Source organism: Homo sapiens, chromosome 11, assembly GCF_000001405.40.
Source record: "Homo sapiens chromosome 11, GRCh38.p14 Primary Assembly".
Lineage (NCBI taxonomy): Eukaryota > Metazoa > Chordata > Mammalia > Primates > Hominidae > Homo > Homo sapiens.
In genome coordinates, this window is record NC_000011.10 from 113,588,040 (window position 1) to 113,604,478 (window position 16,439).

At 39.2% G+C, this 16,439-nt stretch overlaps 1 long non-coding RNA gene across 2 annotated transcripts in view, besides 1 other annotated feature; it reads right to left on the reverse strand.

Annotated features, from left to right (window-relative positions):
- LOC107984390 (uncharacterized) overlaps window positions 1-16,439 on the reverse strand; it is a 100,111-nt gene that overhangs the window by 1,640 nt on the left and 82,032 nt on the right. For both annotated transcript variants that reach the window (XR_001748391.2, XR_001748390.2), the window contains exon 2: window positions 1,986-2,074. This is a non-coding gene — a long non-coding RNA (uncharacterized LOC107984390). The remainder of the gene's footprint in view (window positions 1-1,985; window positions 2,075-16,439) is intronic.
- Window positions 5,836-5,955: a silencer, noted in NCBI's record as "silent region_3910". NCBI's record gives its function as "represses an Ori minimal core promoter by ATAC-STARR-seq in GM12878 lymphoblastoid cells {active_cell/tissue: GM12878}" and the evidence as "EXISTENCE:reporter gene assay evidence [ECO:0000049][PMID:35858748]".

Here is a 16,439-nt window from a genome sequence, read left to right on the forward strand (position 1 = left end):
TGATGGCCACCTCAGATGGGATGCAGGTGGTGGAGTAGAGACAGGCTGGTGTACAGGAGAAGTGGAAGATGGAGTGATGGATAATAGGTGGTTCTAAAGGATGGATCCAAGACTAGCTTAGGATGCAACCACCATACAATACTGTTCTCCATCCAGAAACCTACCAGGGCCATCAAGCAAAACCTTTGGAAAAGAGAAGGCACAGACAGAACAGTAAATTATAAAGAAGCTTGTTTTCTTGCAGTCAGGCTGGGACAAACTTCAGCAAGAAGAATAGTGAAATTCAACAAAGACAGATTTTCCCCACCCACTTCATGCCAAAGAAGGACAATCACATGCCTACCTCTCAGAAACTTTCTCTAGAAGGGGAGAAAAGAAGGGGAAAAGAGATCCCAAAATGGAAAACCATTTCAGCCTGTTCTTTTTTAAAAGCTTTATTGAAGTATAATACGGTGTACCTTTTTTTAATTTCTTTTTTTTTTTCCGTTGAGACAGAGTCTGACTCTGATGCTCAGGCTGGAGCATAGTGGCACGATCTCAGCTCACTGCAATCTCCGCCTCCCGGGTTCAAGTGATCCTCTCACCTCAGCCCCCCAAGTAGCTAGGACTACAAGCGCATGCCACCACGCCAAGCTAATTTTTGTAGTATTAGTAAAGTCGGGGTTTCACCATGTTGGCCAGGCTGGCCTCGAACTCCTGACCTCAAGTGATCCACCCACCTCAGCCTCTCAAAGTGTTGGGATTACAGGTGTGAGCCACCACACCCAGCCTCAGTGTAGCTAAAGTGTAAAATGTGATGAGTTTCAACATATGTGTGTACCAGTAAAGCCATCACCACAATCAAGATAACAAACATCCTCATCATACGTAAAATATCCTGTGCCCCTTTGTAATCCATCCCTGCCTCCACTCCCATCCTCAAAACACCACTGATGTGCTTTCTGTCACTATAGATTAATTTGTATTTTGTACAATTCTTTATGAATGGAATTATACAGCACCTACTCTGCATCAATAATTTGTTCCTTGTTATTACTGAGCATCATTCCATTACATGGATATGTCACAATTTGCTTATCCATTCACCTGGCAATGGCCATTTGGGTTGTTTGCAATATTTGGCAGCCTCAAATAAAGCTGCCATCAACCTGTATAAGAAGGTAAAAAGCAGGCCAATATTTGACTATGGTTTGCCCAGGGCAGGGATCATCTCTCCTTGACAACTCTATTCATGACAACTGTAAAGCTTCCTGTTTTATAAGACTTTAGGGTTTAAGATCTTTAACCTTCATGGCCTCGTTAGGTATTCAGGTAGGTGATGTAGGTTTTAGGCATGATGGCAGGAAATGAGAACATGCTGATCACCTGCTACGTTCAGGCACTGCACTAAATGTTGTGGGGTTCAGAAGGGATATATGACATGCCCTGAAGGATCTTGCATTTTAACACTTTGCAGATGAGGGCACTGAAGCCCTAAGCAGCTGGGAACCTTGCCCAGGGACACTCAAGTGAGAAGAGTTAGCTAAGAAGCAGAGCTCAGGTAGTCAATCTTCCTGTCCAATGAGTCCTCCACACACATGCTGTGTGTGGGTCCCATCTGAACTGGATCATGACCAAGAGACAAAAAGGAAAGCAGGGAGGGAGCAAGGTAAAGAACAGGTATGCAAAGTTATATTCTACCCGATGACCCTCCTCCCCCGACACACGCCAGCTAGAGCTCCAGGAGACATCCTCCGCATCTCTGGCTCCATTTCCAACCTGGCTTATAACTTTCTACTCTTGTCCCTTTTCCCCCACCTGTGGCTAGACTGTTATCTGTGAGGAGAAAATGATGAAGAGGCTTTCCCACATGAGGAGATGGGTTCTGAGCCTTTCGAGCTGATCCAGGGCTCCCCTTTCTTGAGTTATTTTGTAGAGACAATTGCTAAACACCTTCCAGAATCAAAGTTCTGTTTTAGAAGGAATCCCTGTCTTGCTGTACCCACCATATTGCAGCGGGTCTTGCAGGTGGCCAAGTCAGTAGAAAGCTCCATGATGATTGGCTCTTGTCCCCAGCCTCCATGGGTAGGTACAGCTGGGAATAGAAGAGAGACACAGATTAAGAAGCCTCAGGCTCTGCTTTCGGGGCAGTCAATGTGGTAGGAATACAAGCCCCCACACGTATATCAGTGCTTCATTCCTTTTAATGGCTTTAGTATATTTTATTGTACAGATATGCCACATTTTGTTTATCCATTCATCCGCTGATGGACATTTGAAATGTTTCCACTTTTTAGTTATTATGAATAATGCTACTATGAATATTTACATTTTGGTGTGCAGAGGAGTGCATACGACAGAGGCAATAAACTCATCTTACAGCTTTGCAATAGCCATAGCAAGACTGACAGGCAGCAAGGGGAACTGGAGAGTTTGGTGGGCTGTCTGGGAAGGCCGCCTGGAGGAGGCAACTTTTGAACCACTCTTAAAAACTTCATTTTAATACAGGGAGAAGAAGGGCCAGGGTGAGGTGGGCTAATGGGTAGGGGGGGAAAGACAAAAAGAAGGTATTCTACGCAGGCTGAGAAATACCAGACTTCACTTGCAGAAGCTCGGGTATGGATTGGAGTATCAGGTAGATCAAGGAAGAAGAACAAGAACTAATCTTTGGTGAGTGGACTTTGTGCTTCAGGTATGATTCCTACATGAGCCTCATTAGCTCATTAACCTTATTCTAAAACTAAGCTTTCTATGGAAAGAGCTCAGGATCTGGTCAAACAGCCCTAAGTCCCCCATTTAGCACTTATGTGACTTTAACCCGAATCTCAGTTTATTTGTATATAAAATGGAGAATATAGCAGTGACCATCCTCTACTCCATGACATGCCATGGTACAGAGTGCACATCTAAAACACAGAAGCAATGCCAGAATAAAGGGACCTCCCACAAACCACTCAGGACTGTCTCCAGCATGCACCTTCCTCCAGCTCTGTTCTGTTCTGAGTGTTTTCAAGAGGAGTCCTTAGGAAGAGTCCTCTCTGAAACTCCTGAGCCTGCCCAGGAGAACCTAGAAGGCACCAAAAACACACTATCTGCCCAAGGGAAATAGATGGATCCCATTTAGCAGAAGAGCTCCTTAGCTAAACCACAGGAAAGCCTTGGCCACAGATCTCACAGAGACTTATCTAGGCTTGGGCAGGGGAAAGCGGTCTGCTTTTCAGGGCTGAAACACAACCTGCAGCACTGCTGCTGTCCCTGCTGCAGCACCCCCGGGCACGAGCTGTCTGGAAAGGCTGCTGCCCCACCAGCCACTCCAGACATGGCCCTTAAGCCTGAGCATGCTGGGGCCTGGGAGCCTCAGGGCACAGCATTTCCAGTCTCTGGCTGTAATCACAGCTAATTGAATGTCTGCTGATGCCAAAATTGGCTTCTGATTGAATTCAGAACTTTTGTTTAATTAATTATCATCCACTTGAGTACTGCTGCTTCCCTCAGACCAGGTGGTTAACTGTTTCCTCTCTTCTGAGACTGTTGTCTTCCCCCTGAGCCCTAACACTTATACTAAAGAGTTAATCTGCTTCCGGGGAGATGCCTCACTCTGGTTGCAAAGAGGGTGAGGCAAAATGTCAAGGAGTCAAGAAAGTGGAAAGGCACCCAAAATGGGAGAAAACATTTGCAAATCTGATAAAGGTCTAGTATCCGAGTACATAAAAAACGCTTACATCTCAGCAATTTTTAAAACCCCAATTAAAAAACAAGCAAAAGATGCAAATAGACATTAATATATGTCTTCTTTCAAAAAAAAATTTTTTTTTGAGACAGCGTTTTGCTCTGTCGCCCAAGTTAGGGTGCAGTGGCACGATCTTGTCTCACTGCAACCTCCGCCTCCCAGGTTCAAGCAATTCTTCTGCCTCACCCTCCCGAGTAGCTGGGACTACAGCCACGTGCCACCGCACTCAGCTAATTTTTTGTATTTTTGGTAGAGACGGGGTTTCACCATGTTAGCCAGGATGGTCTTGATCTCCTGACCTCGTGATCCGCCCACGTCGGCCTCCCAAAGTGCTGGGATTACCGGCATGAATTACTTTTAACTTTGCAAAAAGATCATTGTCTATGTTATATCTGGGGATTTAAGTTTTTCATTTATATTGAGAATATTCATTTGTATTGATGTGGTGGCAGTAGTGGTGAACTTTATAATTCATAGGCATCGGCGCACTGGCAAATTTTTACAAACCAGCTTTCCAGAAAATAAAATGTCAGCATATGTAAGTTTATTATCAATTTTATTGATAAAAAGAATGTGTTGCACAAATTTACAAATAATAATATACAATCTTCTTTATTATGATTTTAATGTAGCCAATTGATTCTCACAGACTGCTTTTATTGATTTTTGCCAAACTTTTGTATCCATAGCCAATCTCTGATTGCAGTTGAGTTAGCGTAGTTCTCACGAATAAGATGGAAGTAAAGCAATGAAGATAGATCTTAGACTTCACTTGTTTGTCAACAGCATGAAAAATTTTATTGCTGAATTAGGTAATAGTTTTCAAATACGAGACACTATTTTCGTAATTTTTGTGCTATCCACAATGTAACAGCTATAGACATAATGCTTTTTTTTTTTTTTTTTTTTTGAGATGGAGTCTTGCACTGTTGCCAGGGCTGGAGTGCAATGGCGCGATCTCTGCCTGCCGGGTTCAAGTGATTCTCCTGCCTCAGCCTCCCAAGTAGCTGGGATTACGACCACCTGCCACCATATCCAGCTAATTTTTTGTACTTTTAGTAGAGATGGGATTTCACTATGTTGGCCAGGCTGGTCTCAAACTCCTGACCTCAGGTGATCTGCCCGCCTCAGCCTCCCAAAGTGCTGGGATTACAGGCATAAGCCACTGCTCCCGGCCGACATAATGCATTTTTAAGTTTAATCGCCATTACTAACATTTTCTCCATCATTTTCTTAAGTCTGACAATCATCCCGAAAAAGAAACAAACAAGCCTTGATTTGTAGTGTTTTTGCCCATTTTTCCAAAAATACTCCCACTGTGGCCAATTTCCTGCCATTAACATGACATCACTAAACACAGAGTTGAGATGAAGTATTCAGTAGAAATCATAATACAGAATTTCCACCATATAGATCCAATATATATTAATAACCTCAAGAGCATAGAGAATGGTAAAATGTAGTAAAATAATTAGTGATGAGCTTTTAGTATTTACTACTTTTGCTTTTAATATAATTTATTTCATTGTAAGCATATATAATTTGATTGTTAACAATTGCTGTGTTTAATAGCCAGTTCGCAGAATTTCTGGTATGAGCCGGCTTCAGCACATCATTACAGTTTACAGAATATAGAAATGGAATTGCGAGAGTTAGAGATGGGATGCACAGGACTCAAGGTCTGGGTGTGGTCATTGATAAGACCCTGGGCTGTCTCCCTTTAGAGAGAAGGTGAGTCCTTCACTTTGTACGTGGGATAGTTTCATAATGGTAACAGGATATTTTTTGACAGGGAGAGGGTTAGTGAAAATATGAGAAGAATGTATATAAATCTTGGGTAGCCACAATAGTGGATCCATTTATAGGTGTGTACTGGCTTTGGCTACTCTTTATACAAATACCCTTCCAATTTGGGGTGTAAGTCAGAAGTCTACCTGGGTGGCAGGCCCCTCACATCCACTTTAAAAGCCAAAAGAAGTCTCTGTCCCCTCAGTCTGCCCTTGGTCCTGCGGTCAGAATGTGCTGCCAGGGTTTGGCCAATCAGAACTCAACTTGCGTTGTGAATTTGCAGACAAAGTTTCAAAGACACAAATCACTGGTGGCAGCAGTAGTGATGACAGAGCAGAGAGGAAGTGGTGGTGGCCACAGTCCCAGTGGTGACGGAGTCAGTGGTCACAAAAAATCTGACCGCTCCTGAGGCATAAGCTTTGCTGGGTCTTCAGCACCCCGGTTTCCACTGGCTCCTGCAAGATTGTGGAACCAAGGTTCCAAGCCTTTTCATCCACCCTGTCAACTACCAGATATTTTTCCAGTACATTTGTTTTCTGCTTAAGTTAGCCAGAACCCACTTCTGGTTTTGCAACCATAAGCCCTGACTGATATAGAAATCTAGTGTGTATGTGGGGGTGGGGGAATTGCTGGATTGAAGGGAATGTGCATTTTTTACTTTTATTCACATTGTGAAATCAAGTACCAAAAAAGCCTTTACCAAGTTATATTCCTACTAAAGTGTGGGAGAGCACCCCTTCTAAAACTGAGCACGATCAACCCTGTTACTCTTTGCCAAATTAAAAAGCAAAAGTGACATGTCATTTGGATTTGGATTTCCCTGATTATTAGTGAGGCTCAACATCACTTCATATGTTTTTTGCCCACAGTACTTGTATTCTCTTTATTATCTAAGTATGCCCTTCGTCATTGTTTCTTAGGTTATTTGATTTCTCTTGTTTGATTTATAGTAGCTATTTCCTTTGTCTGTCAGATACAGTCAGCCTTCCATATTCATGGGTTCCACATCCATGAATTCAACTGACTTCAGATCAAAAACATTTCAGAAGATAATGCATTTGTACTGAACGTGCACAGCCTTTTTCTCCCTTGTCATTATTCCCTAAACAATGCAGTCTAATAGCTATTTACATACCATTTACATTGTATTAGGTATTAGAAGTAATCTAGAGATGATTTAAAGTATACTGGAGGATGTACATAGGTTATATGCAAATACTGCCCCATTTTATATCAGGGACTTTAGCATCCATGGATTTTGGTATCCTTGGGAGGTCCTGGAACAATTCCCTCAAGGATACCAAGGGATGACTGCATATTGAAAATATTTTCTCCCAGTCTCTTAACTTTATTTTTGATGTTTTTGTCATACTCAATAGTTTGAATGTTCCCATAGGTAAGCTATTGATTTCGTCTTGTTTTTGTTTTTTTGTTTTGTTTTGTTTTTGGCTTGTGGTTTTGTATCTTTCGTAGCAGAACCCTTTCTTTGCCAACTTTTTTTTTTTCTGTTACAGAGTCTGAATTCAGGTGTCATGGGTTCAAATCTTGACGCTGCCTTTTGCTGGCTCCATGACTGTTTGTTCATCTGCAAAACAGAGACAATGATAATGTGTAAAGCACTCGGCACTTTGCCTGGCATTTAGTGATCAAAATTTTGTATATTATTCTTATTGTTACTCAATATGTTTAATCCCTCTGGAATGCATTTTTATGGGTGGCATTAGATAAAGGGTTATATTTGTTTCCTAAGGATGCTATAACAATGTGCCACAAACTGGATGAATTAAACAACACAGATTTATTCTCTCACAGTTCTGGAAGCTGGAAGTCTAAAATGAAGGTGTCAGCAGAGCTGTGCTCCCTCTGAGACCCTGGGCAGAATTCTTCCTTGCATCTTCCTAGGTTTCTGGTGATGCCCACCAATCCTTGGTTTCCTTGTCTTGCAGCTGTGTCTCCAATCTCTGCCTGTCATCACATGTCATTTTTTCTGTGTCTCTGTCATCGCATGGTGGTTTTCTTCTTCTTAAAACAACACCAAGCATACTAGATCTGGGCTCAAATCACTGTATCACTCAGGGTTCTCCAGAGAAAGAGAACAATAGTATATTGGTATATAACACTATATATAAAAAGAGGGAAATTATATATGTATATATATGTGTGTGTATGTGTGTGTATAATATGATATTTTCATTCATCATATTCTACATAGAGAGAGAGAAATATTAGAGAGAGAGAGAAAGAGAAAGGAATTGGCTCAAGCAATTGTGGGGTCTGGTAAGTCCAAAATCTAGCAGACTGGAAATGCAGGTAAGAGCTGATGTTGCAGTCCTAAGTCCAAAATCTGTAGACATATTGGCAGGCTGAAAACTCAGGGAGGATTTCTCTGTTACACTCTTGAGGCAGAATTCTTCTTTTCCAGAAAAATCTCAGTGTTTGCTCTTAAAACCTTCAACTGATTGGATGAGACCCACCCACATATGGACAGTAAACTGTTACACTTAAAGTCAACTGATGGCAATGTTAATCACGCCTACAAAATACCTTCACAGCAACACCTACACTGGTGTTTGAATAACTAACTGGGTAACAAAGCCTAACCAAGTTGACACATAAGATTAACCATCACAGTCACATTCACAGATATCAGGTTCATATCTTTTTCAACATGTACAGGTAGATTTTTTTTTAATTCAACTCATAACAGTGGTCCACATTAATTTTATTTTCAAACAGACAGCTAGTTGTCCCAGCAATGGATATTGAAAAGCTGTTCCTACAGACTTGAAATGCTTACTCATGTCCATGAACTAAATATCTATGTGCATCTCCTTCTCAGATCTATATTCTAGTCTAATAATGTATTTTCCTCGTGTCAATGCCATACTGTTTTATTTCCTATATCTCTATTGTATGTTTTAATAAGTTAATCTCTTTCTCTTTTTCAAAATTTTCTTGTCTATTCTTTCATATTTGTTTCTTTCAGATGAACTTGAGAATCAGTTTGTTTAGTCGCCTAAATATTTCCCACTGGAGAACTTCTATTTAAACATAGTGTGTTGACCAAATACTCCTATTTGTCTACTTCATAAAAATCCTACAAATATGAAAGTGAAGTAGAATAAAAAGGTGTGCAAACACATCTAGATAATATAAGCTAGAGAGGAGTCAATAGTAGACTAGAAATTTTAGAACTGTTTTGAAGACGGAAAGTAGGAGAAGAAGCAGTGACTAATGAGGCAGAGCAGGGAAAACGCAGCCTCGTTGCCTGAAGAGGTAACTGAGATGTGAAGGTTTCCCTGGAGATGGGGTGGGGGTGGGGCAGAAGACTCAGAAGTAAAAGGCGGCGCAGTAGGTGGAGGTGTGGAGCTGCAAAGGGGATTGCAAGTTTCATCCTCTATTCCAACCCTGGGGATACCTCAGAAGTAAATGGAAAAGTACAGATTTGAAGAACCTAAGACTGTGAGGAACCCTAGGGAGACAGAGGGTGGTTCTGATCTGAGGATGGGGAGGAAAGAGCAGCTCAGAGCAGCAAAGCACCGGGCACCACTGTTGGGGGAAGGTCTCTGAGCTGTCTTTGTGCACCACACTATCCTGGGTGGATCGTGGCCCCCATCAGCCCCTACAGGATAGAGAAAACAACAGATCCAGCGGGCACCACAGAAGGAGTAGGAGAAGTGCCAAGGAAGCAACTGAAACTGAGCCAAAAAGCAGGAGACAGCAGGTGCAGGACACCAGCAAGCCCCTGGGAGCTCTCTTCTCCCCACGCTCTTCCACATTCATCGGGCTTGTCAGTTAGGAACAAGGGTCTCCTTCCCAGTAACAATTTAAGCCAAAAAGCTAATAACCCGCCCCCAGGGGAAAATGAACCCCCAAGCAAAAACCACCGGACATCTGAGAAACATCACCGTTAGAAAGAAAACAAACTGTACAACCTATAGAAGATAAATTAGAACTAATGAAACCACACAGATTAATAATTTAAAATAAGTGTAATAAATAAGGAAAAGGAAAGATAATGGTAACATAAAGCAGTTATAAAGAAGAACCAAACAGAAACATTGGATGCCAAAAATTTAATAATTGAAATAAAGAATCCAATAAATGACATAAATATTAAAAATGGATTCTGCTGGGATAAGTGAGCCAGATGACCAGGTTGATGGACTCTCCCAGAAGGCACTGAGAAAAGACAAACAGTTGGAAAATATAACAGAATTAGAAGCTGTGAAGAATAAAATAAAAGTGTCATCATCTGTGTAATAGGAAGTTTTGAAGAAAAAAATGAAGAAAGAGAAGTGTCAAAGAAAAAATAACCAAGGATTTTTTAGTATTAAAGAAAGATGAAAGACTTCAGACTGAAAGAGTTTATGGAATGTCTAATAAGATAAATATGATTTAAAACCTTGATACTTTATAAGGAAATTTAAAAACACAAAGTCAAAATTCTAAAAGCTGCTAAAGAAAAAGAGATGATTACCCATGAAGGAATAAGAATCTGATTGATATCTAACTTCTGTTCAACAATGACAATAGAGGCAAAAAGACAGGTACATAATATTTTTAAAGTACTAAAGAACTTCAAGCCTCAAATCTATATTCAAAAAAATTAAATAAGAGGATGTCATAAAAATAATCTCAGGCACAAAAGGCCTAAGGAAGTTAACACGGAAAATTCTCTTCTAAAATATTCTCAAAGAATGTATCCCAGTTAGAAGAGAAATAAATCCATGAGACTACCATGAGATAAAAAGGAAACAAGAGTGGATACATAATATAGAAAAGTTAATTCAAGTATACAACGGTAGAGAGAGAGGGAGAGGCAGAAGAAGGGGGAGAGAGAGAGAGAGAGAGACAGAGAGAATCCAAAACGACTAATGGGCAGTGAACAAATGGTGGCTGCAAAGAGATACCAGTGGAAAGTGAGAGTATTATTTTGTTATAGAGAATGATATAAATGTTATTGAGAATTGATGAGAAAAATAAACATAAATATGATTTTTAAAGTTAAACATAGCTACCGAGTATAGAGAATGGAATTCAAACTTTTCAAGCCCTCAGAAGAAAATTCTATTCAATGAAAGATGAGAAAGGAAAAAGGGAGAGGAAAGTAAAAGATATTTAAATATAAATTAGAAATAAGATGTCTGAAATAAATCCTAATACACAACTAATTACATAATTTGTTTTATGGATTGAATCATGTCTCCTCTAAAAAGATTTATTGATGTTCTAACCCTCCATGTCTCGTATTGTAACCTTATTTGGAATAGGGTTGTTGCAGAAGTAATTAGTTACATTAAGATGAAGTCATGCTGGAGTAGGGTGAGCCCCTAATCTAAGAGGACTGGTGTCCTTATAGGAAGAGGAAAATGCCACATGAAGAGAGAGAGAGATGCCCAAGGAGGTGTCATGCTGCAATGAGGGCAGAGATTGGAACTGTGCAGCTGCATGCCAAGGAACACCAAAGATTTCAGCAAACTACTGGAAGCTAGGAAAAAGCAAAGAATTCCCCTAAATATTTCAGTGGGAGCATAGCCCTGCCAACACCTTATTTCAGATTTCTATCCTCCACAACTATGAGGCAATAAGCTACTGCTGTTTTAAGCTCCTCAGTGTGAACTATTTTGTCATGGCAGCCTTAGGAAACTAACACAATTTACAAACAGATTAAGTTCACTAATCAAAAGACAGCCACTTGCAAATTGGGTTTTTTTTTTAAGCAATATCTAACAATAGGTTTTCTGAAAGGAATATTTCTAAAACAAAAGGTGACAGAGAGGTCACAAATAAAATGATGGAAAAGGTATATGATGCAATTTTGAACCAAATGAAACTGGGGAGCAGATTTAATGTCAAACAATAGAAGAAAAATATGAGCAGAAAGATATAACAATTGTGAACATACATCTGCTTAAAAACATACCTTCAATGTACAAAATGCAACAACCAACAGAACTAAAGAGAGAACCATATAACAATTATAGCTAGACACGTTTTTTGTAGTCATCTGAGAAACTGATGGGATACACAGACAAAAAATAAGCAATTATAGAGGAGATCTGAATGGTATGATTCATAAACTTGAAATACTAATTATATGAGAACTTTACAACCATCAATAAGAAGAGAGAACATTTTTGAGCACACATAAAATATTCAAAAAATTTAACATTTACCAGATCACAAAGGGAGCCTCAATACATTCTCCCCAAATCATCATCATTCACATTGTTATCTTAACAAAATGGAACAAAATTATAAATTATGAATAAAATAACTTTAAAGCTTTGTACTTCTGTTAAGTAGTAACATAATAATGTTTGGGTTAACAGGAAAATATAAAAGAAATTATAAAATACTTGGAACTAAATGATAATGAGGGAAAATACATGCCAGAATTTCAGAGACACAGCAAAAGCAGACTTAAGAATGAAACTTATAGTTCTCAATACATTTACTAGGGGAAAAAAAGCATTGAAAACAAATGAAGTAAGGTTTTAACTGAAAAGATTAAAAAAAGAACAGTTGACTGAGCACAAAAAATAAGAAAGAAAATAAAGATAAAGGCAGAATTCAATAAAAGAGTGACTATAGCAGCAGCAGCAACTACAAAATCGGTAAGAATAATTAAAACAAAAGCTGAACGTTTGAAGTGATTGCTAAGCTGTACCGACCTGCAGCAAAAGCTCATCAGAAAGAAGATGCAGAAATATAAAATTCAAAAGGGAAAAAAAAACTCCAGATATCAAAGAGATTAAAATAATTATTAAAAAATAACTATTCACTTATAAAATGAAAACTAAGACAAAATAGATATATTTATAGAAAAATATAGAATTTAAAACGAGCCCAAGAAAAATCAGAAATTTGAACCAACCAATAACAAAATATTGAAATGGTTAAATACAACAGAGAAGACACCCCTACCCCATCTCTAAGCAAAATAATAATAATAATATTTTTTAAAATTGCTCCTAGGCTAAATGGTTTTACAGACGATGTTTCAAAAAACAAAGTATTCCTGTCTGGAAAATTTGTTCCAGAAAGTAAGAAAAAAAAGCAGCACAACTCATTCTATTAGATTAATTCTAAAACCTAATAAGAATAGAGAGGGGGGGAAAAACACAATAGTTCCTTTTTACTTACAGATCCAAAATAGAATATAAGCAAACTGAATTCAACAGCACATTTTTAAAAATTGTGATCAAATAAGGTTTATTGCAGTAATCTTGAGGTAATTTAAAAACAGAAATCTGTTAATATAAGCCATACACTAGACCAAGGGAGAAAAATCAAATGATTTCTCAATAGATTCAGAAAAAATATTTTATAGAAATTTCACATATATATATATAATAAAAACACTTAGTAAAATAGGAATTCCTTTAAGTTAGTAAAGGAGCTATGCCCAAAATATACAGTAAGCATCACACTAAATAGATAAGATCAGAAATAACCCAAAAGATGTCTGCTATGACCATTTCTGGATATCCTGCCTAATGCTATATAAAACTAATAATAATAACAACAGCAATAAGAGTTTTTAAGAATTAAAAGGGAAATGATAACATTTCTATTGTTTTCAAGTTATATGCTCATGTATGAGAAATCTCAATAGATCTGAAGACAAACTGAAAGATCTATTAAGTGTTCAACAAGGGAACTAGATACAAAATCAATCTACATAAGGCTAGGCCTGGTGGCTCACACCTGTAATCCCAGCGCTTTGGGAAGCCAAGGCAGGAAGATTGCTTGATGCCAAGAGTTCAAGAGCGGCCTGGGCAACGTAGCAAGATTTCATCTCTACAAAAACTTTTTAAAAAATAAATCGATCTACAAAAATCAATAGCATTTTTACAGACTTACACTAAAACACGAAAATAAGACATTATTCACAATAGCAACAAAACCTCTAACATCTAGGAAATAAGCTAATAAAGAATGCACATTCTTCTAAAGAGAGAGCTTTAGAACTTTAGAACTCTACTAAATCTTTTAAGCTTGTTTAAAATAATGAAGAAAATGAGTAAAAGTAGAAGTAAAGGTAGAGCCCTAATTTTTCCCAAACTAATCTATCAAATCTATGCAATTGCAAACAAAATACTAACTGAAATTTTCAGGAACTTAATAAAACAATCCTTAACAATTTGTTTAGAAAACTAAAGATGTTAACTTGCAAATATCAATTAAGAGTAACTAGCACACAATAATAAAACAAAATGTAAAATTCCTGGGATTCAACAAATAAAAACTCAACTGACAAGGTGAAAACTGGATGGCTGAGAGGCATTAAAAAAGACCTGAATAAATAGAGAGACATAGAAACATAGTATTTGCCCAAATGTGTGGTAGTTCAATATTACAAAGATGTCTATTTTCCCTGAGTACATCTATAAATTCAGTACAATTCCAACTAAATTGATGCTGCTTAACACACACACACACACACACACACACACACACACACACCTTTTTTGGCAGGGGGTTGGGGGAGATCAAAAAAACAAGCAAAAAAATCCTGTGCAAGGCTGACTAGATGGGTAGAATCTATTTCAACATGTATCTCTTCTCTGGGAAAAGAAATCTCCTTCTATTGCCTACAAAAATGTCCTGAGGATACCAAAAGGGACCAGATCCCTCTTTGCAAACCACAAATACTCTGCAACCACCTGTGGATATAGACGTCTGACCCTCATCATAGGCTGCTCTAAGAACAGAGTGAAGGTGGCAAAGAATGGAACAATGACTCTGCTTGGCTTATTCAGAAAGGCAGGAATAGATTAGTCCTCTTTCCAGATGACTAGATTGCAGAGGGTCCATTCTCTGCTCTGGAGCAACCCAGCTACCCCTGCATTCCTGGGAAATAAAATCTCAGACCAAGAGAAGCCCTGCCCGGGAAGGAACCGCACTGTGCTGAATAACTACTCCCAGGAAGAGAAGAAACCTCTCTGGCCCTGAGCGAAATTAGAAAGAGGAGAAAACTCAGCTTCACTTTGCCTTCCAGTACCTTAGCTTCCTTCTTGCTCTTTTTGATCTTTCCCTTCTCTGAATTGCCCACACTCATTCACTAATTCAACAAATGTGTATATTGAGCTCTTCCTCTGTGCCAGACACTATGCTGGGCATCCAGGGCTCTGAGGAAAGCAGCCCAATTTAGGTACTGACCTAAAGGACTGGAGATATAACACGCTTCTTCTCCAACTTCTTTCAAAAGGATTTGTTGATTTAAGAGACCTCAGAGAGAAGGCAATGCTTAACCCAAAGTTACCACTTCTCTAATAGAGAAATTTCAGATCTTGCTGTTTATTGGAAAAGAGGCAATACTTTAGCCAACAAAAACCTTTCCATTATTCCCCAAATCAACAATAGCTAGCATGCAGCTCAAAAAAAAATTAAAAAGTGTTTCCAAAGGACATTTTCTCATTTAGCTATGCAGAGCAGTGATTACCACAGAGGGGGTGCCAGAAGATACATGGGGCACAAGAAAAGGATGTGAGAACTCCTAATCCCTTAGAACTGTTTCAGCCTATACATCTTCTACTTTCTGTATAAGCTTTATAACATATATTAGTACAAATTTACATGTACAAAATTTATAAATAAATAACATAAGCAAAAACTAGGATGGGTGCTCAAAAATGTTTTACTGATAGGAAAGCATGATGGAAATTTTTTGGAGACCCCTAATATAACAAAGAGTTCAATCTCTTAAACCTAAAACCAGTCTTGGTGACCACAGTCCTAGTAGGTGCAGGAGAAGTCAAGATCTGTGTCCCCAGACCAAGGTCTAGCTCAGTTAACTCTGGGTCATTTCATGCCGGTCCCATAGTAGGAGGAAAAATCTGGTAGAACAATGAAGGGAAATGAGCGAGTCAGAAGCAGAGATTGGAGGGAGAATTGGCTTTTCCAGGTCACTGGCTCGTTCATGGGCAACATCCCAGCATCTAAAAATAGAAGAAACATCTGCAGTTTGCCTCTTGGAGCTGGGGCTTGGATGAGCCCCAGGACAGGCCCTGGCAGACTGCTGGTGGCCACAATGACAGCACTGGCCTCTTCAGATGACTTCATCAGAGAATGGCCAGGAGCCAAAGAAGAGCTACTTCCAGAGCCAGGGTCCTCACTGTGAAACAAAAGACCCAGAAATAAGTAGGGACCTTAGCTCTTTAACCAGAGATCTGGCTCTTCTTTTCTTGGTAGCAGGGTGGGGAAAGAAAGGAGAAGCTGGAAGGGGTGTTCAGAAATCAGGGGGAGTCTCCTTGATCAAGGATGGCTTCAGAGTAGGTGATTGCTCAATGTCATTTTTCATTTCTTATCTGTGACTCTTCCTTTGGGTTCTCTGAGCCTGGCACATAGTAGGAATTCAAAAATACTACTACGCAAGAGAAGGAAAGTAAGAGTTTATCAGTGCAAGTCTTGAACTGAGCTCTGAGGAGAATTGTGTTTCTGATTAGTTTGACTTGCCGATGGGTATTCAGGAACAAAGGGAAGGTCCTGGCTGAATCCTAGGAGCATATTTGGGCCTCTGCTTTGTGAGAATCCATGAGGAAAGGAGAAAAAGGAAATCACAGCCTTCAACCTCCCTTTCTTAGGAGAAAGAAGAGAATGAATGAGGAAGCCGAAGAGCAGGAGAAATAGGAGAAGGGTTCTTGTCCATACTGAAGAAAAAGGACAACATTCAAGATGCCTAAAGAGGAGCAGGTGCTCATAGACAGGGTTCCCTCTTCATTCCCTGCCTGTTTGCCCAGCCCCAAACTTCCCAGGTCTCCCCTTCCTTCATTCCTTCTCAATTGACCCCTCACTTTCATCTTGCCAGTTTCCCAAAGGAATGTTTAAATAGGTATTACTCAAATTGGTGTTAATCAGTAACCAATTTGATAAACAATGTGTCTTTTCTCATCCTCTACTTCCCTTTGTTCTCCAAGAAAAGAAATGAAGTCTC